The 21,671-nt window shown below is 33.9% G+C and overlaps 1 protein-coding gene across 7 annotated transcripts in view, besides 1 other annotated feature; it reads left to right on the top strand.

Annotated features, from left to right (window-relative positions):
- The window catches only part of MKLN1 (muskelin 1), a 386,539-nt gene that overhangs the window by 286,369 nt on the left and 78,499 nt on the right, over positions 1-21,671 (top strand). For 6 of the 7 annotated variants that reach the window (NM_001145354.2, XM_047420401.1, NM_013255.5 and 3 more), the window contains 4 exons: positions 805-914; positions 2,779-2,971; positions 14,844-14,921; positions 18,183-18,248. In NM_001145354.2, coding sequence (NP_001138826.1) covers positions 805-914; positions 2,779-2,971; positions 14,844-14,921; positions 18,183-18,248 — 447 coding nt within the window. Of the gene's footprint in view, positions 1-804; positions 915-2,775; positions 2,972-14,843; positions 14,922-18,182; positions 18,249-21,671 lie in introns of all 7 variants that reach the window. The other variant, NM_001321316.2, reaches the window with a different exon arrangement.
- Positions 13,414-13,614: a silencer, noted in NCBI's record as "peak6726 fragment used in MPRA reporter construct". NCBI's record gives its function as "represses an SCP1 promoter by STARR-seq MPRAs in K562 erythroleukemia cells {active_cell/tissue: K562}" and the evidence as "EXISTENCE:reporter gene assay evidence [ECO:0000049][PMID:32103011]".

Here is a 21,671-nt window from a genome sequence, read left to right on the forward strand (position 1 = left end):
GACCTCTAATTAGTGACAAATAGTAGAGATATTGGACATCTTTGTCTTGTTCTGACTTGAGTGGGAATATTTAGTATTTTCCCAGTAGGTTTAATTTTTAAGGTTTTTGATGCTTTTTAAAAAAATCTAAGGAAATTTTTTATTGCCTTATATTGCTTATATATTGAGGGTTTAAAAATAATAATGTATTTAAGTCATCAAATGTGTTTTTTCTTTTATTTTGTTAACGTGGTAGATTATATTAATATAGCTCCTATTATTTATTGAACCATCATCTTTCCATTCCTGGAATGAGATCTGTTTGGTTACAATGAAAATCTGATAGAATTTTTTGCAACTTTTCTCCTTTTAATTTGTATTTAAATATGTATTCATAGCTGTGATTGGCCTTAAGTCTTTTTTCTTCTGATTTGGATTTCAGGGTTGTGCCACTGATAAATAATTTCAGTCTCTTTCAGTGTTCTGATGTAGACTAAATTCTAAAGTAATTTTTTGCTGCTTGTACATTTGATAAAATTTACCTGTTAAATCATCTAATTCTGGTGGCATTTATTTGGGGGTAGACATGTGCACATTTTTAATTTATCTTACAGTGTTTTTATTAACTAAGGAAATCTTATGGTGGCATGGGTCATCTGTTTCGTTTTACTGTTGTAGCCTTAGCACCATGCTAGTCATATAAAAGATGCCCAGAAAATTCGTTGAATGAATCCTTATAAGGTTGAATAGTGCTTTTACTTTGCTAAAGTTTTATTTGAACTGTGTTAATATTTTTCTTCTTCTTTTTGTTTTTTCTCCTTAAAGTTCCACTCTTGTCCTGGGGACCCAGCTTTAACTTTAGCATCTGGTATGTTGAACTTAGTGGCATTGATGATCCTGATATAGTACAACCTTGTCTCAACTGGTATAGCAAGGTAGGACTGTGTTTTAAATCCTGACTTTAATGCCTATAAAAGGAGAAATATGTCAATCTCTTATCTTCATTGAGAATAATTTAAAATATTCAAAATAATAATAACAACAGTTAGCTAACATTTTATTAAGCACTTCCAGTCTGCCAGCTTTTAAGGAATCCTGATAACTCACTTAGTCATTATCACTCTATGAGACAGGTGCACTTATTATCCCCATTAGTTTATAGATGAAGAAATGAAGAACAGAGAGATTAAATAGTTTGCCTAGGATCACACAATTGTAAAGTGTTTGAGCCAGTATATGAATTCAGGCAGTTTGGCTCCACAGTCTGCTTTTATGTTATTATACCCATTTGACTCTGAATTTTGTTTTTTCACTTGTATTCATATAAATACTTAAAACATAGTTTTTAGTGGGATAGTTTTGCAGCCTAATGGAAAATTTAAGATGTGGATGTGATTTAGACTCCTAAAGTAGTCAACAGGGTTAAAAAATACTGCTGTTTAATATAACTGTAATATATATTGTTACATGGTAGTTATGATAAGTCTTTTTTAGAGGCCAAGAGTAAGTTAATTATAGTTAACTAATTATAATTAAGTTGTTAATTAATTATAGTTAATTATAACGTGTAAGGATTAGGTGTTTAATGACCTTTTATTAGTTAAGTCAGCTATCAACTGATTTGTTTCAAATCTTATACATCTTCCTAAACACATTATTTTCTTGCCTTATTAAAGGGTCATGCCTATAAGTAAATCATTGTTGTTTGATTATCATGCAGGCTTCCATGTCATCTGTTTGTTTGAATAGTGGTATACTTAGGAAGTTTGAGGTAGTCCCAGAACATATTCCTGAAGTTGAGATTTTTTTAAAAAAATCCTTTTTATAAGATTGTATTTTTGGCATCTATCCTATTAGGGGAAAATTTTAATAAATTAAGTGCCTGCTTTTTGGATTCCAGTTAATTGAGATGTCTACTTTATAGCTGCTTAATAGATGAGGTAGTTCAGGCTTAGAAAACAATTAAATTGGGCCGGGCGCAGTGGCTCACACCTGTAATCCCAGCACTTTGGGAGACCAAAGTGGGCAGATTGCCTGAGGTCAGGAGTTCAAGACCATCCTGACCAACATGGTGAAACCCCGACTCTACTAAAAATACAAAAATTAGCTGGGCGTGGTAGCGCGTGCCTGTAAGCTCAGCTACTTAGGAGGCTGAGGCAGAATTGCTTGAACCTGGGAGGCGGAGGTTGCAGTGAGCTGAGATTATGCCGCTACAGTCCAGCCTGGGAGACAGAGCAAGACCCTGTCTCAAAAAAAGAAAGAAAAAAAAAAAGATTAAATGTCTCTTTTTGATGATTTTTGAGTCATAAAATGTGTTTGTAAATTTGAAATATCTGTATACTTGATACTTGTCATTCAAGTAATAGTTTATTTTTAAAAACCAAAAATAGCATAATATAATTTATGTGGATTATTTAATGTTCTTTTGTGCTCTCAGTACCTGCATTGTAATGGGATTAATAGATGCTATGGAGTTATAATTTTTACAGTATTAAGTGGAGTTTAAGAAATAGATGTTCTCCCTTTCTTCAAAGTTGAGGCTCTGGAATTAGGTTTGGTTTAATAACTTTTGGCTACATATTTTGTGACCTTGAGCAAGTTATTGGAACAGGCCAAGCTTTAGTTTTGCTAGTTAAAAGAGCCAAATAATGATACCTAATGAATCAGGTTAGTAAACTGCTTGGCACATAGTGTTAATAAATGCTCAGTGTAGATTAGTTATTTTTACTGTTGTTATTGTTTCCTACAGTATCATCTAACCAAATCTCTTCTTTCCATACTTACTCTGTGTTCTAGTAGTACCGTGAACAGGAAGCTATTCGCCTTTGCCTAAAACACTTCAGACAACACAACTATACAGAAGCTTTTGAGTCACTGCAAAAGAAAACCAAGATTGCACTGGAACATCCCATGTTAACAGATATTCATGACAAGCTGGTGTTGAAGGGTGATTTTGATGCTTGCGAAGAGTTGATTGAAAAGGCTGTAAATGGTATGAAACTTAGATTGGTTATTAGGGTAAATTCAAGTACATACGGGAAACTTTTTCTCAAAAATAATATAGGCTTATGCCAGTTATTACTGTAATTTTTTTTCTTGGTTTTTTACTCGGTTAAAGATTGTTATCTCTTTGGATTAGGGACTTCTTTCATGTAAAATAGATCCATGATGTAATGAGACTTAAAAAATTGAAATGTACTTGAACTCACATATAAATTTAAGTTGTCATCTTGGGAAACCATGCACTTACAAATGATTAACTAGCATTAAACTGTATCAGAAATAATATTTTGATATTGGTAGCCAATATTCATTAACAGTGTAGTTTTGAGGAGAAGGGGGGCTAGATAATAAAAAATGTTATTAGTAAACAATTATATATAAGGAACAAGGAGATTTGTATTGAAAACAACTTCCTTGTGGTGTGAATGCTATATAATTGCTGATTTTCTTGTGTGACCTGTAGTCTGGCTTTGAAAGAAATGTGAATAGTTGAACATCTGTATTATCTCCCAGGGTATTGGCTTTGGAGGGTAACACTCATTTGGATTTTTAAGGTCTGATGTGTTTTGTTATTTAAACTAAAAAGGGACTCTGTTGTTGCTTATAGTATGACTTTTTTTTTTAATCTTCCTCAGTAACTTTCATAGTGACAAACAACAGAATAGTTGCACAATATAAAACTTGTGGAATTGAATTTGGTGCATCCTTTATAGGAAGAAATAAGAAATAATAGATTATTCAGTGGTTTGCTCTCATTTTAATTTTATCACTGTTATTATCGTCTATTATTAGGTATTCATATTTATCAGATATTGGGTAGCTAAAAAAAAACCAGACTTGTACTGCCTTGAGTTTATAAATTTAAAGTTAACTTAAAATGAATTGCTTTGAGCTCCACTTTTTGAAATATGACAAATCTGCTTCTAAGCCTTGTGCATTGTTATTGCTTACTTGATTGATGATGATACTTGCAAATAAATGATAGGTATGTTTGAAATTGAGTATATTTTGGAGTATAAACAAACAAATAACTAATCTCTTAACAGACTTTAAAATGCTACCAATAAAAAAAAAATATATATATATATATATATATGCCATTTCTAGGAGTGAATTCTGTGGGTTTTTTTTAACCTCATAAGATGAGGGAGGCATAGGTAATTTTAGGGCTTTTTTGTTTGTTTCAGATATTTATCAGTAAGGCATTTGATACCATTTTGTGAAGGGAAAGCAAAACAACAGCCACAGGCAACTCTACAGTTAATAAGCTAAAAACAGTTATATTTTAAAGGTCTCTTTAGTGACGTACTCAGTTGGTTAAGATTAGCTGATAAAAATCTTGTGCAGTTTTGATATCTACAGAGACTTAACTTATCCTTTGGCTCTAGAAAGGAACCAAGTTTAGAGAAATTAGTAGTTGCTCAATTCTTGAAACTTACAGCCACATCATAGTTTTTGTACTGTGAATACTATGGGCTTTCTAAACTGGCCTGGAACACTGTTAGTTAATAAACATTCCTTTCAGGGTTGTTCTCTTTGCTTCTGATCTCATTGATGATGATTTGTTGGACAAATAAGGAAGTAAACAGTGCAGAGTTTTTTGGCTTCTGCTCTATTAAAAACATAGCAGAGAAGGACAAGAAGTTCCTGCCTGCTAAATAGGAAGATCTAGGGAATCAAAAGAGTCTCTGTCAAGCTTCTTGTAATGGAGGATACAAAAGCTACTTTTAGTATTTTTAGTATATTACTTAGTATGATCTTTAAGTATTTTCTGTATTTTAAGAAAGTGTAAGGCTCTATTTATTTCTGTAATAGGCTTTTTGTTTGTCTAGAAACATCACTGTATTTACATTTCATTTTATTAGAGGTGATTTTGGAACCAATAATTGCTACTACCTCTTTGCCCATGCAGGATCCAGTGATGATAGGCAAAAGTAATCACCTAGGGACAGGAATGTTTTACTCAGACATGTAGAGATTGTACTGAAATCCACCCTTTGCTGAGCTTATCTTATTTGCTATAGAAAGAAAAATTTTCTTTTGTGAGATAAGGGAAGGATAAAGTTTAATAAGGTAGTCATAAAGTTTCAACCTGAAATCTCTACCTTTCTCCCTTTGTCTTTCCCTGCTTCTTTCTTTTTTCTGTTTTCCTGGTTTAAAAAATAATCTCTCCACTCTGGTTTTTTGGATTGTGCAGTAGTTGTTAATTATAGGCATATCTTGGAGATATTGCAGGTTTGGTTCCAGACCACTGCAGTGAAGTGAATGACACAATAAAGCAAGTCACAAATTTTATTTCCTTTGCATGTGCATATAAAAGTTATCTTTCCACTTTACTGTAGCCTCTTAAGGTACAGTGGCATTATTTCTTTAAAAAAAATGCATATACCTTAACTTAAAAAATGCTTTATTGCTTAAAAAATGCTAATGATCATCTGAGCCTTCAGTGAGTTATACTCTTTTTGCTAGTGAAGGGTCTTGCCTCAGTATTGATGGCTGCTGGCTGATAAGGATGGTGATTGCTGAAAGTTGGGGTGGCTGTGACAGTTTCTTAAAATAAGACAAAAATGAAATTTGCTGCATCAATGAGTTCTTCCTTTCACAAAAGATTTATCTGTGGTGTGCAATGCTGTCTGATTGCATTTGACCCACAATAGAACTTCTTTCAAAATTGGAGTCAATCCTCTCAAACCCTGCTGCTGCTTTATCAGCTAAGTTTATGTAATATTCTAAATCCTTTGTTGTCATTTCAACAATGTTCACAGCATCTTCATCAGGAGCAGTTTCCATCTCAAGAAACCACTTTATTTGCTCATTCATAAGAAGCAATTTCTCATCCATTCAAGTTTTATCATGAGAGTGTAGCAGTTCAGTCACATCTTCAGGCTCTACTTCTAATTCTAGTTCTCTTGCTATTTCTACCACATCTGCAGTTAATTTCTTCTTCTGAAGCCTTTAACACTTTCCACATCATCCATGAGCATTGGAATCAACTTCTTCCAAACTCTTGTTTATGTTGATATTTTGATCTCTTCCCATGAATCATGAATGTTCTTAATGGCATCTAGAATGGTGAATCCTTTCCAGAAGGTTTTCAATTTACTTTGCCCAGATCCATCAGAGGAATCACTGTCTGTGGCAACTATAGCCTTACAAGATGTGTTTCTTAAATAATAAGATTTTCTTGAAAGTCTAAATGACTCCTTGATTCATAGGCTACAAAATGGATATGTGTTAGTAGGCATGAAAACATTAATATTCCTGTGTTTCTCCATCAAGCTCTTGGGTGACAGGTGCATTGTCAGTGAGCAGTAATATTTTGAAAGAAATCTTTTTTTCTTTTTCTGAGCAGTAGGTCTCAACAGTGGGCATAAAATATTCAGTAAACCATTCTGTACACAGATGTGCTGTCATCTAGGCTTTGTTACTCCATTTGTAGAGCACAGGCAGTAGATTCAGCTTAATTCTTAAGGGCCCTAGGATTTTTCAGAATAGTAAATGAGCATTGACTTCCGCTTAAAGTCACTAGCTGCATTAAACCCTTGCAAGACAGTCACACTATCCTTTAAAGCTTTGAAGCCAGGCATTGACTTCACTCTAGCTATGAAAGTCCTAGATGGCACCTTCTTCCAATAGAAGTCTATTGGAATGTTTTGTCTACATTGAAAATCTGTTTAGTATAGTTACCTTCATCAGTGATCTTAGCAAGATCTTCTAGATATTAATAACTTGCTGCATCTTCTATAATACATCAACACTTGTGGCTTTACTTTGCACTTTTATGTTACAGAGGTGGCTTCTTTCTTTAAACTTCATGAACCAACCTCTGCTAGCTTCCAACTTTTCTTTTGCAGTTTTCTGACTTCTCTCAGCTTTCACACACTTGAAGAGAGTTAAGGCCATGCTTTAGATTAGGTTTTGGCTTAAGGGAGTGTTATGACTGGTTTAATCTATCCAGACCGCTCTAACTTTCTCCATATTAACAATAAGTCTGTTTTGCTTTCTTATCAGTCATGGGTTCACTTGTAATTTCCTTCAAGAACTTTTCCTTCTCATTTACAACTTGGTCAACTTTAGTGCAAGAGGTCAACTTTCAGCCTATCTTGGCCTTTGACATGCCTTCCTCCCTAAGTTTAATTATTTCTAGTTTTTTTATTTAAAGTGAGAGGTTTGTGTTGAACACTTAAAGGCCGTGGTAAAGATATTAAATGGCCTAATTTCAGTATTGTTGCATCTCAGGGAATAGGGAGGCCCAAAGAGAGGGAGAGAAATGGGGGAACTGCTGGTTTATGGAGAAGTCAGAACACACACAACATGGTGCCTCAAAACAATTACATTATTAACATCAAAGATCACTGATCATAGGTCACTGTAACAGATATGACAGTAATGAAAAAGGTTGAAACATTACGAGAATTACTGAAATGAGAGAGAGACACAAGTGAAGAAATTCTGTTGGAAAAACGGCATCCATAGACTTCCTTCAATTTGTAAAAAACACAGTATCTGTGAAGCGTGGTCAAGCAAAGCATTATAAAGGCATATGTATGTTGAATTATCTTAATTGATTTTCTGTTTTTAATGCAATTTTGTATTCCTTTTTACAAACCCTACTTGATAATGGTGTCTTACTCTTTTCAGGTATTGTATTTGATCTGCCACCTTTTTATGAAGTATTTTTGCATATATTTGTGTATGTAAGATATTGGTCTGCAGTTTTCTTTTAATGTGCATGTCTTGTTTTGTTATCTTTTGGTATGTTTGGGTACTTCCAGTCTTATAGAATGGGGCAGGAATCTAAAAGTGTTTGTGTAGAATGAGTAGTAGCTTGGTAGAATTTACTAGTGAAGGCAACTGGACCTGAAGTTACCTTTGTGTGGAGGTTTTTGTGTTCTTTTGGCAGGGTCTCTCTTTGTCACCCAGACTGGAGTACAGTGGCATGATCAGTTAACTTTAGCCTTGAACTCCTGGGCTCAGGCTATCCTCCTGCCTCCTGAGTAGCCTGGACTATTGGTGCATGGTATCATGCCTGGCTAATTTTTAAAAATGTGGAGATGGGGTCTCGCCATGTTACCCAGACTGGTCTTTAACTCCTTGCTCAAATGATCCCAAAGCACTGGAATTTCGGGTGTGAGCTATTTGTTTGTTTTCTCTTTTTCTTTTCTTTTCTTTTTTTTTGAGACAGGGTCTCTCTCTGTTGCCCAGGCTGGAGTGCAGTGGCACAGTCACGGCTCACTACAGCCTTGACCTCCCTGGGCTCAAGTGATCCTCTTACCAAGCCTCCCAGGTAGCAGGGACTACAGGTGTGCGCCACTACACCCGGTTAATTTTTTGTAGAGATGGGGTTTTGCTGTATTGCCCAGGCTGGTCTCAAACTCCTGGGCTCAAGTGATCCACCTGCCTTGGCCTCCCAAAGTGCTAGAATTACAGTTGTGAGCCGCCACCCTCAGCCGAATTACTTCTTTATTTTATACTTGGTTAAAACAAACAAACAAACAAACAAACACTTTCCAGTGTCTGAAGCTGTCTGTGCTTGAAATTTGGTGGGTGGGAGTGTTTTTTACCTATCAGTTTAATTTCTTTAAACATCATAGGACTAATCAGAGTTGTTAATTGTTTGGTTCAGGTTTATTAAATGATATTTTTCTAGGAATTGTCTATAATTGTCTATAATCAAAAATTTCAAATTTATGGGTATTAAGGTATACCTAATATCTTACTGTTTGTTTAGTGTTTGCAGGATTTCTTGAGATGCCCCTTTTTTGTTACTTATCTTGAATATATATATATTTTTCCATCAGCACATGTTTATCAAGTGCACTAGTCTCTTGAGAGAACCAATTTTTGGTTTGTTCATCTTTTCTGCAGGATTTCTTGAGATGCCCCTTTTTTGTTACTTATCTTGAATATATATATATTTTTCCATCAGCACATGTTTATCAAGTGCACTAGTCTCTTGAGAGAACCAATTTTTGGTTTGTTCATCTTTTCTGTTATTTCCTGTGTCCTTGACTTATGCTCTGTTTACTGTTGTCTTCCTTCTCTTTTTGAGATTAATTTGCTGTCTTTTTATAACAACTTTTTAAGCCAGATGCTTAGCTCATTAGTTTTCAGACTTTGAAAATTTCCCTTATATACATTTAAATATATAAAATTTCCTCCTCTTGTTCTTTAGTTGTGCTATGAAGTATTTTTATTTTTGTTCAGTTTAGTATTTTCATTATGAAATGAAATGGCTCTTTGGAAGAACTGTGGTTTTTAATTTACAAATTTGTGGCGATTTACTACTTGTTTTCTTTGTTAGTGATTTCTGGCATAATTGCATAGGGGCCAGAGTGCATATCCTGTATGTTTCCAGTCCTTTGAAATTTAATGAGACTTGCTATATAACCCAGCTTATTCAATTTTTATAAACATATCATATATATTTGAACAGAATGTGAATTCTTTAGTTGTTGGAGCAGTGTTGTATATTTGTTCAGTTGGTCAGAGTTGCTAATCATATTGCACAAATCTTTATCAATAAGAATTTTCTGTCTGATTCTCATTACTGAGAAAGATGTTAACACTTTCCACTATGATCATCGAATTATATGTTTCCTATAGTTGGTCCAATTTTACTTTATACATTTTGATGCCATGTTTTTAATTGAAAACAAATTTTAAATTATTTTGAATTAAATCTTTTATTATGAAGTGCCTTTTTATCTCTAGAAATATTTTTGCTTTAAGGTAAATTGTATTAAGATCTGTTTTCATTTCTTATTTGTATGGCATATCTTTTCCATCTTTTATTTTCAACCTTTATCCCTCTTAAGAGAAATATCTCCTATAAATTTTATTTAAATAAAGAAAATTTTATTTTATTAATAAATCATTTGACTTATGATTAGTTTAGAAATTGCAAGTATGCATGATTACCTTAACAAAATTGATCAGTGCCTTTTCTCTCTTCCCATGTGAGGATTTAGTAGACTTTCAGCTTCATATTCTCACCTTCTAATTCATTATTCTATTGTTGTCAATTGCTCTATTGTTGTCATTTATTTTGATACCATGTTCAAAGACCCTATAAAATATTTGTCTTATACAGCAATTGTTCATTAATTTTACCCAAATATTTACTGGGTTTTTTTTCTCTTCATTATTGTTTGCGTCTTTAATCTTATGTCTAGGATTGTGTTCATTCCCTGTGCCGTAAGCCCATCCTTTAGAATTTCTTCTATAATGCAGCTCAACTCTCTCAGAATTGATGGCCTGAAAATTTTGTCTCCTTTATAGGAGGGTATTTTTGCTAGATGTAGAATTCCAGATTGACACTTACTTTCTTGAAATACATTTTGAATATCATTCGACTGTTATTAACCAGCTTCCTTGTTGCTGTTGAGAGGTGTGCTATCATTTTCAACTGCCATTTTTTAATATAATCTTTTTCCCTCTGACTGTTTAAATATTTTATATTTGTTTTAGATTATTTTGTAGTTACATTAACAAGGCTGTCCGAAACTCCAGTGTGGCAGCCCTGTTAACTATTGTCTATTTTGGTTTTCTTTCAATTAAATATATGTTGCCTTTGTCTATCATTTATTTTCTCCTTTATCTTTTTTAACTGCACATTTCTGTTTAATATTTTAAGCTTCTCTAAACCCTTTATCCCATTTCCACTACTATATTATTTTTAGTGTCTCTTTCTTACACTTTGACCTTCAGTTCTGTGATATTTTCAATTTTTTCATTCCTCTTTTCTCTCATTTCTAACAATTCCATTTTTGTTTCCTTTGGTTGTCTTGCCATTTCTTTTCCAACTATTTAGATGTCTACTTTCCAACTGCTTATATCTCTAATCTGTACTCATGTTTCATAGAGAGAGTTGCTTTTTTTTATTTGTGGAATAAATTTGTGGAAAGGTATTTGGCTACTTTCATCTATTGCAGGCTACATTTTTCTGTTGAATCAGATTCATTTGCTACTTTAAAAAATTCATTTCTTTTCCTTTTTATATTGTGGCATAATTCCTGGGTTGATTCTTTTTTAACATTATTAATATTTTAATGTGGTGAATTTTTCCTATTTTTAGAAGCTTCTTGTGAGTTAGGAGGTAGGGCTGTGTTCCAGGATAGCAAGATTTTTCCTTATAACACCTTTTTTCTCTTTAAGATTTTGTTTCTTAGCAATGCTCATAATGCAAAAATCTCACTTTTTTCCCCTTTCCCAACTGCCAGACCCTTTTCCTGAAACATGGTTTTTTTTTTTTTCATAATTTTTGCTCATTTATGCCTTTGTGCCTTTGTGTATGCTGTATTCTCTTTCCTATTACTTTCCTTTTTATATAATTCAGTTCCAGTGCATTCTTCAAAGCCAACTCTTTCAAGGTATCTTCTTTCATTATATTCTCACTGAATCACTCCTTCCTCCTCTTAACTCCTATTTGCCTTGGTGCTGTATTTCTCATTTTGTTCATAAAAGATTGTTAATTTTCTGTCAAGTACATTTCCAAACACTGCATCATTGTCATCATCATCATCATCATCGTAAGTAACATACATCTGAGAGCTTGACAATGTGCCGTTTATTCTCCTAGGCCTTTTACGTGAATTTATTTAATTTTCATACTTACCTTCTAGGTTAAGTATTGTTGTTATTTCCGTCTAATATATGAGAATGATTAATTTGCTTAAGATGGTGTATCTAGTAAGTGACAGAGCTAAGATTTGAATTCAGGTAGTCTGGTGCCAAAAATCCATACTCTCTATCTCTAAGCTTTACCGTCTTAGTAAATATTTACTAGTTCAGTGTCATAATATTGACTATTATATTCTTACTGGTATAATATTGCCCTTTTTTTCAGAATTTGGACAAACTGATGAAATCAGCTTCTTAAAAATTCTTTTTGATCTAATCATTCTTGAATGGTCAAAAAGGATTTTATGCTCTATAAGTTATTTACCTATACATGCATTTTAAATTATTTCTTTTGTATGTAATCTCTATTTTGGTGCAAAATCAAATTTGATAAAAGTTTGAGTTTACCAAATATAAATACATACAACTAGGCAGCAGTACTATAATCTATGTGGATTTTTTTGGTTTTGTTTTCTTTTTAATTCTGGGCAAGAGATTTGAAATTTTTTCCCCTTTTGGTGAAAGCTTCCTAAATCATGTTTTTTAAATCATGTTGTATGTGTATGTGGGCATGTGTGTGCAGGCAGGATTTCTGTGTTGCCCAGACTGGTTTTGAACTCCTGGCCTTGAATGATCCTCCTGCCTTAGCCTCCCAAAACCCTAGGATTACAGGTGTGAGCCACCAGGCTGGGCCATCATGTGCTTTTTTAAGAGAGTATCCACTATTATTGGAGAAAAGAACAGCTTGTGCTCAGTGAGGACTGTATGAAATATATTTATTATAGTCATAATTATAGGAGAAAAAATGAAGTGATATTGGACCTGGAGACTCTAGTTAAATAGTTTAAAAATTATTAACAACTAGTTCTTAGTGTGCTTTCTCCTAGTGATATTTTAATTTCTTTTGGATAGTTTTAATTTTATCTGACTGTTCTGATCTCTTGCTTTAGATTTTTGTCAAAAATAGACTTACAGAAATATTAGCAACTGCCTGACTTCTTCTTTAAACAGAAATAATTTTTGAACTCACATGGTTCACAGGCATCTTTAAATTTCTTATTTACTAATTTGTTTCTAAGATTTTCAAACAGTGTAATGGATGTCATATTTTTATAGATGAGAATATCATTGTTTCAATAGAGAGGCTGACTTTTGCTGAATTATATATCTAAAGCAAGCCTACCAAGGCAAAAGGCCTTATTAGCAAGCGTTTGCAAGAATTAGAAATAATAGGGAGCATGGAGATTATTTGGGATGCAGAGGTGTCAACTCTTTGTTTTTAGGTTGCGAAAGTTGCAGGAAGTTCTTTTACATTAAAACAAGGTAGTAAAAGCAATGCATTTTTTTAACCTTTACCCTGCTTTAGTATTTGCAGTATTTACTGACTTTTTGCAAGAATTTTGAAAAGTCTCAAAGGCAAAGAAGAAAGGAAATTTGGTGAGCGTGCCTGTAGGATGGAGGTTTCCAGTTAAAGCCAGCTGAAAAGTCTTGAAAGCGAAAGGGTTGGTTACAACTGAGCTTCATAATTACCCAGAAAAGAAAGATTAGGGGGAGTGCTCTAAATTGGTTGGTCTCTGGTGAATATATAAATCGCAGAAAACAGTTTTACTTTTAAATTGAGTCACATGACAGAGTTTAATAGTAAAAGTAACTTTATAAATTATGATCTATTTGGGTGCATGTAAAAGCTAGGGTTTCTAGCTTAAAAAGTAAGGAAATGTTATTGTAGCACATAGCAAGAAGTCCAGAGGTAAGGCAGATTTCATGGTTGGTTGATTCAGTGATCATTTCTTTCTTTCTCTGTGCTGTATCATCATTATAGAATTGACTGCATTCTTGTACTTCGACAAATTTGCTTTAATATTTGTATACATTACATGCAGATATTCCAGAGGAATAAAAGTAGATTTTTTTTTCTGTATGTCTCTTTAGAAGTAAGGAAAAATTGCCTAGAAGTCTCCCAGAAGATTCCTCATGTTTCATTAGCCAAAATTGGGTTCCATACTGTTCTTAAACTAATCTTTGTTGAGGGCCATGGGAGTAGGGCTTCATAATTATTTAGGTGTGTATGTGGGGGGATGTATGTAGGGAGTTCAGTCTCCATACCATTACAGTAACTAGTGTAACAACTTAAGTAGATTATGAGTTTATCAATACAGCAGAATCAGGAGTAAGGAAAACATGGTAGAACTTTAGTACCAGCCCCACCATTTAAGAGCTGTGTGATTTTGGTTAAGTTTCTTACTTTTTTTAAATACAAATTTCTGGATTTATAAAACGGAGATGATAATGTGTAGTTCATAGGATTGTTTTTAGAATTAAATGAGATGAGACAGCATAAATTCTAACATTTGGTAAGTGTTCCATAAGTATAGTTTTATTACTGCTGTTAGTACTTTTATCTTTATGTAGTTTTGTACTCAAAACTGTATAATAATGGAATTCACATGTTAAAGTTAGTGTTCCCTTTTCCTGAAAATGTATCAAGGACCTAGACCAAAATTATTGGAGCTCTATTTTCTTCTCTAGTTCTCTTGGATATGGGTGGCAAAAAGTACTGGCACAAAGCACTGTTGGGGGAAAGAGATTAGGATCCAATGAATCCATGTCATTATAGGATGTAAAGATTAAGAATTTCATAGTTGAAATAAAGACAAGTGGTGGGAGATCACAAAAAGAAAATATAATTCTCCTAATCTTTAGTTATCCTTTCCTCTTCTTAATTATATTTATGATAATGATAGAAATGATTTTTTAAAGATATATAAGATCTTTTTTCAATGAAGTAGAACATTTATTCAGATTATTTATTTTTATTTTCTCCTGCTTCTATTTTGCAGCCTTAAATTGTCTTATGACTTTTTTTCCCCTCCCAGTTCACTCCCTTTTCCTTCTTTCAAGGTCTCTAACCCTCTGATAATGTCACATACGTGTCCGTTGAATGCAACAGTGACTTTGTATCTAATACATACAGTGATGATGAGAAACATAGTACGTTTAATATGAGCTTCCCCTAAAGCAATTTGTTTGCATGGTTGTGTCAATTAATATTTTACTATTTATATTTGAGGTAGCATGAAGTGAAATTGAAGTGATGCATATTTTATGAAAATGTGCTTTTGTATTAGTGACATATTAGTAATTTCTTTTAATGTAGCCTTTTAAATTTTAATTTTTTTCTATAATAAATAATGTAAGTAGTTAAGGTGTAATTCTTTCTCATTCTTCAATATTTGCAGATGGCTTGTTCAATCAGTATATCAGTCAACAGGAATATAAGCCACGATGGAGTCAAATCATTCCCAAAAGTACCAAAGGTAAGCCATACCTTCTAGATTGTAGTTCTTTTTCATTAATGTCTCAGTCTTCAGTTTTCCCAAGGTAGTTCAAGTATCATAGTACTAAGTTAATAAAAAAGAAGATGTTGGCCAGTTGCAGTGGCTCATGTCTAATCCCAATACTTTTGGAGGCCGAGGCAGGAGGATTGCTTGAGCCCAGAGGTTCAAGATCAGCCTGGGCAACATGGTGAGACCTGTCTCTACAAAAAATTAGCTATACAGCCGAGTGTGGTGGCTCACACCTATAATCCCAACACTGTGGGAGGCCAAGGTGGGCAGATCACCTGAGGTTAGTAGTTGAAGACCAGCCTGCCCAACATGGCAAAACCCTGTCTCTACTAAAAATACAAAAATTAGCTGGGCGTGATGGTGTGTGCCTGTAATCCCAGCTACTCGGGAGGCTGGGGTAGGAGAATCACTTGAACCTGTGAGGCAGAGGTTGCAGTGAGCTGAGATCATGCTATTGTACTCCGGCCTGGGAGACAGATGGAGATTCCATCTCAAAAAAAAAAAAAAAAAAAAAAAAAAAAAAATTAGCCAGACATGTTGGCAGGCATCTGTGGTCCCAGCTGCTTAGGGTACTGAGGTAGAAGGGTGGCTTGAGCCTGGGAGGTCAAGGCTGCAGTCAGCCGTGTTCATACCACTGCACTTCAACCTGGGCAACAGAGCGAGACTCTGTCTCAAAAAACAAAACAATAACCACAGCAAAATAAATAAAAAGCAGATGTTTAAAACAAGGCATAGGTTCCTTAACTAGGTGGCACAATTCATTTGTTATATTAAAATTTTCTTTTTAAACCTTTTTGATTTACTGCCGTAACAGAAGGTTGGGCAGCTTTTACACAGAATATCATTATAAACTGCTTTGTTAGAGGCATGGTGTAAAATTATAGGCTGTGTTGTAATGCCATACACATGTTCTTGAAAACCTTAAGTTATGCAAAATTATTTGCTAAACCTAGCAAGGCATATAAGAAAAATAGAAAGGCAGAAGACCATTCTAAATCTGTGGAACTTTATAACCAGCTACTAATAAAAACTAGTGTAATAATTGTAATAAAAATAAATATCAGTACATTTAAATTAGGTATTTATATTGAACATCATAGTGTGTTTAGAGACTTAAGCCCTGGGCTCATGCCTCTGTCTTTGAAATGTAGATCCTAGAGGGCATTTGCTTCTAATAAAGACTGTTTTCATCAAAACTTGAAATCGGATCCAGAGTATAGTCTTCTTCATGAATACCTTATTTTCATATAAGGGGGGAGGTTTTGTCACTTCTTCATCTGTACTCACTGCTTTGCCAGATAATTAACATAGTGGAAAGTGTAGCAATTTCTTAATGCAACTGTTTGTGTTAAAGGAAGGCAGTTCTATGGATACTGAGCTTTTTTCATTGTGGTCTTCATATATTACTAAGGACTTCTCTTTAGTTGTGAGAAAGCTTTCTCCTGATAGTATTGCATATTAATATGCAGGGGAAAATTGCTTAAGAACCTCCATAATTGATGTTACATGAACATCATTCTCCTATTTTATCAGTCATGTATGAGGTAATTTTCTTCAAAGACACACATATTATAGCAAACAGACAGTAATTGTGTATTTGCAAACTAATGGATTCAACATATAAAATACAAACATACTGAAAATGAATTCATTTTAGTGCTTTCTTTTTTCCCTCAGACCTCTCAGGGGTGAATATGCTTTCTAAATCTATTCTTAAAGATGGCGATACGGTACTGACTGATGAGGGAAGGAAAGAAGAAAAGGGCAAAGCTTCAATGATAATAAATTGCACAATCTAAAGGCTTAACTATTAGGATAAAGGATTTGGAGGGAACTTCTGGATGATTAGCCGCTGAATACAGTAGTAATGAAAAGCTTCAGTTTTGTATCTTATTTTCTGTATATAAGAACTGACATTTCAGTCATTTTCATAGCACCCTTGTAAAATTAGTATAAAATTGGATATTCTCAATTTTACATTAGGAGAAAGCCAATACAGGGAAACTTATTAGCCAAAGTAATATATTTCAACTAATAGGAGAATTATGAAGAAAGCCTTAGGCTTTCTAGTTCATATCAAGTAAGACATTAGAATCTTACAACCTTTTGAACTACTGAAATTAATTTATAACTTTTTTTTTTTTGAGATGGAGTCTTACTCTCGTTGCCCAGCCGGAGTGCAGTGGTGCAAACTCGGTTCATTGCAACCTCCGCCTCCTGAGTTCAAGTGATTCTCCTGCCTCAGCCTCCTGAGTAGCTGGGATTACAGGCACCCACCACCATGCCCGGCTAATTTTTGTATTTTAGTAGAGACAGGGTTTCACCATATTGGCTAGGCTGGTCGTGGACTCCTGACCTCAGGTGATCCACCCACCTTGGCCTCCCAGAGTGCTGGGATTACAGGTTTGAGCCACCGCGCCCGGCCATAACTTTATTTATGTAAGATTTGGTGTAAAGTAAGATTAGATACAAGTTGAATAATAGTGTTCTCTTTTGGAAGTTTAAATAAAGTTTTACTGATTGTATTTAAACCTGCCTATTAAGCTCTGTGATGGAAATAAGAATCAAAGTGAAGTAAATCTTAGATTTCCTCAGTCAGTTCTTACATAAAATAGTTGGTAAATTAGGTGGGAACTGATTGCTGAAATATTGGCACAAAATTAATACATTATACATTATACAAAGTTATATAAAATAATTACACAAAGTACAAAATTATACAAAAATTTTACAAAATAATTGTATACATTATACAAAATTAATATCATTAATATAAAACTTGATAGCATCTTTGTTTTCAGTAAATAGTTTGATAACTCGACTTTAAAACTGCTCATCATACTAATGAACTATGCCTAGAATATATACGGGAGATCTAATTTTGTAATTGTTTTTGACCTTCACTTTGGCACTCAAGTAGCTTAGAGATTTTTGTTTTATGTTTTTGTATAATATTCTGTGTCTTTGCTGGTTTGTGGCATTGATCATAAATAAATCAAAAATAACTTCCAAGTTCATTAATGTCCTGAAAGCATTTGGAAAAAAGAACAAGATTATTATAAACACAGATTTGAGTCATACTGTTACTTTTATGAGTCCTTTTACTTATTAATATTTTGAAAAAATAAGGGTGGGTTATTTTTACTACTGATTACAGACTTATGAATAAATTTACTCTGGATATGCTGTTCTTTGTTATTCCTTTAAAAGAAACTATTATTTCTTCTAAAGGTGATGGGGAAGATAACCGTCCAGGAATGAGAGGAGGCCATCAGATGGTTATTGATGTTCAAACAGGTGAGTAGCAGTTGCAGTGGAAAGCAAAATCTTCATTGGCTACAGGCATCGTCTAAACCAGGCAGTGGCAGGTAAGGAAGGGGCGGGGGGTGGGGGGCTCTTACACAAATGAAATTAGATTACCTAAAAAAAGTTTAACATGCGGCCTTTTATGTGTGTCTGTATGTGTGTGTATGTGTCTAGTTTATATGTGTTGTATTTTCATGGAAAACTGGTGTATTTCTGGATTTTTGTTGCACTTATATAGTAGAGTAATATGGGAATTACTGGAATAAAGAGAACTAAGATATATTTTTAGAGGAAGCAGATATCAAATTAGGCAGCTAAGTGTTGGTAAGTCCATTAATTGCTAAAAACTGTTCACAAGCCTGTAAATAATTTAGTTGTTGTTTTTTGTTTGGTTTTGTTTTTTTTTTTCCTGTCTTTTAAATTTTGTTCTGAAGCTTGGTAGCAAACTTTTTTTTAAGTTTCTAAAACCTAGGAAAACTTAATTACCATAATATTTAGAGGTTAATGCCAACATTATAATAGGTCTCAGATTAGCAGCTTAAAAAGCAAATAATACCAATAATCTACCATAGCTATATTTTATTATTGGATTTTAGAAAACTTTACTGCATAGAATACCACTCTTTCCAGGCGTAATGAATGCTCAATTATACTGTGTGTTATGCCAACTCATAGTGCTTCGGGAATAAAATAATTGCTTGGAGACTCATATTCTAAAATAATTAAGAATAAAAATGGTTACAATGTAGACACTAAGTCTTCTTGACATGAATTTATTTTCATAATTTTTGTAAGAAGAGAAATTATAATTTTTAATTTAAAATTAAAAGCTAAATTTCTATGATAACCTCTGAACTGGTTTGAGACTGTTATTAGGGTCTCTTTGGAAAAGGTTCATTTTTAAGGTATAGGAATTCACTTTCTTAATTTTGGTCCCTCTTTCCAAATGCCTTTCTGCCCTGCAGAAATAGGCTTGAATTAGCTATAGAGTCTTAGGCATCTTTTTTTCTGCCTGAGAGTATAATAAATATTCATATGCTTATTTACTAAAGAGCTAGATTTATATACAAACTGGTTTTTTATCCAGAATAATTATTTATGAATATAGACATGAAAATTTGTTTTTAGATTGTCTACACAGTAGCTTCCCCTTTTTTTGAACATAGAGTAGAATTTGTAATGCTTTTCTTTTTTCTCCATCAGTACTATAAGGAAAATATTATTAAACACCCCTCCCCTGCCCAACCTTTTTTTAAAATAGAGATGAGGTTTTGCCATGTTGCCCAGGCTGGTCTTGAACTCCTGGGCTCAAGCAGTCCGCCTGCTGCAACCTCGCAAAGTGCTTGTATTACAGGTGTGAGCTACCATGTCCGGCCCACCCTTTCAAACAAATTTGGTTGTAGTTTGCTATAATAATATACTAAATCTATGTTTATTTGAAAGGAGCCTTTACCTTTTAAAGCAAAATGCACTTTCCTTAAATATAAAAGTAATATGGTTTACTTTAACATTTAAAGTTCACCTTATCTGGGGAGGCAGAAGGAATTTTCATAGTGCTTACTGTGTTAATTATTATGAGAGATGAACCATATGTGATAGGTAAAGTACATGTGTAAGAAAGACAAAAAAATTTTCCTCTTTTTATAATCCATGAAATTCGAAAACAGAAAATTATTCAAAGAATAGGCAAATGTCATGACAGAACTTAGTGTGAGCAAGTCATTGAGAATTAAAATCTAACTTTTCAGGTCAGAGAGCCTTGAAATACTTACAATAAAGTTATAAAGGCCTAGGTATTTTTCTTTCTTTTTTTTTTTTTGAGATGGAGTCTTGCTCTGTCGCCCAGGCTGGAGTGCAGTGGCGCAAAGGCCTAGATATTTTTCTATAATATTTTTGTTTTATGCATTAGGGGTAGGATTTCAGCAAAGTCTTGATGGTCAGGGTCCTTACCCCTACTCCCTTTAAAAAAATATTTCAGCTAGGCACAGTGACTGTCTCGTGACTGTAGTTGCAACACTTTGGGAAGCCAAAGGGGGAGGATCCCTTGATCCCACAAGTTCAAGACCAGCCTAGGCAGCATAGTGAGACCCCCATCTCTATAAGAAATAAAAAAATCAGCTGGATGTGGTGGTGTATGCCTGTAGTCTCAGCTACTCGAGAGGCTGAGTCAGAAGGATTGCTTGAGCCCAGGATTGGAGGCTACAGTGAGCCATCATCACACCACTGCACACCTGCCTGGGCAACAAAGCGCAACCCTGTCAAAAAAAAAAAAAAAAAAAAAAAACTCAAAGAGGAAAAATGTTATTTGAGTAACTACTAGATTTACTTTAGAAATTATAAGAAAGCGTAGCGAGAATGACTATTGTAGTCATGGAATTTTACTCCAGATGGGACCTTTAAAAGAGTAATCTCTTTTTGATAGCTTCTAAGGATTTATTATAGGTTAGTGAAGGTGTACAAAGAAAAATCGGCCTATATCCACACTTCAATATTGACACTAGTTTATAGAAAGCTACAGAAGTACTTTAGAAATACACTTTTAAGCAAATATTTCTACCAAAGAAAATCTGGGGAATTATCCTGTTAGTAGATATTTTAGTTAGAGCCATTTTGTACCTATTTGGAGTGCTTTCTTTTTTTCTTTTATTCGTTATGAATTCTGGGTCAAACTTTATTTAGGCCCATGGTTGATGACAAAACTAGATTTTTCAGCCTTTAAAAGAAATCATGGGTGGTCATTTAATATACAGTTGTCTGTTGCTCAAGTTCTCATGCTTTTCAGTATGTTACCATTGCCACATATAGTGTGGAAACAGTACTAACTATACGTGGACATTGAGGTCGAAAGGATTTCACCAGATTCAGGTGGTCCTTGATATCAGTAATAGAGATGGCATATAAAACATTTGGAGGTGGAATTCCTCTTCTGTTTTTTTGTTTTTATTTTTTACGTTCAAAAAATATGTTTCCAAGAAGAGCTATCTGAAACCTTTTGTCGACATTTTGATATCTTAGTACAGAAATAGGGATAGAAGTGATGATTCGTTTTAAATTTATCATTCACTATAGAGGGGAAGACTAGAAGGACACATACCAAAATATTGACGTTAGTTACGTCTGGTGGTACAATTACCAGTGATTTAAAATTTTTTTATTTAAAATGTATTTTTAAAATTTCTACTTAATTATAAGTTGGAGAAAATTTTACTCAACAGCATTCTTTTTAGGAAAAGAACTGTATTTATTTGTGAAGGTGCTTTGGAGTACAAAGTAAAATACTGAGACCTGATTGTAGAAGGAACTATTTTTGTAACACTAAGAGAAATTGTCTCGTTAGCACCAGAGAAATGGAACAAGAAATAGAGATGGCCGGGCACGGTGGCTCACGCCTGTAATCCCAGCATTTTGGGAGAC

This window comes from Homo sapiens, chromosome 7 (assembly GCF_000001405.40).
Source record: "Homo sapiens chromosome 7, GRCh38.p14 Primary Assembly".
In the NCBI taxonomy this organism is placed as follows: domain Eukaryota; kingdom Metazoa; phylum Chordata; class Mammalia; order Primates; family Hominidae; genus Homo; species Homo sapiens.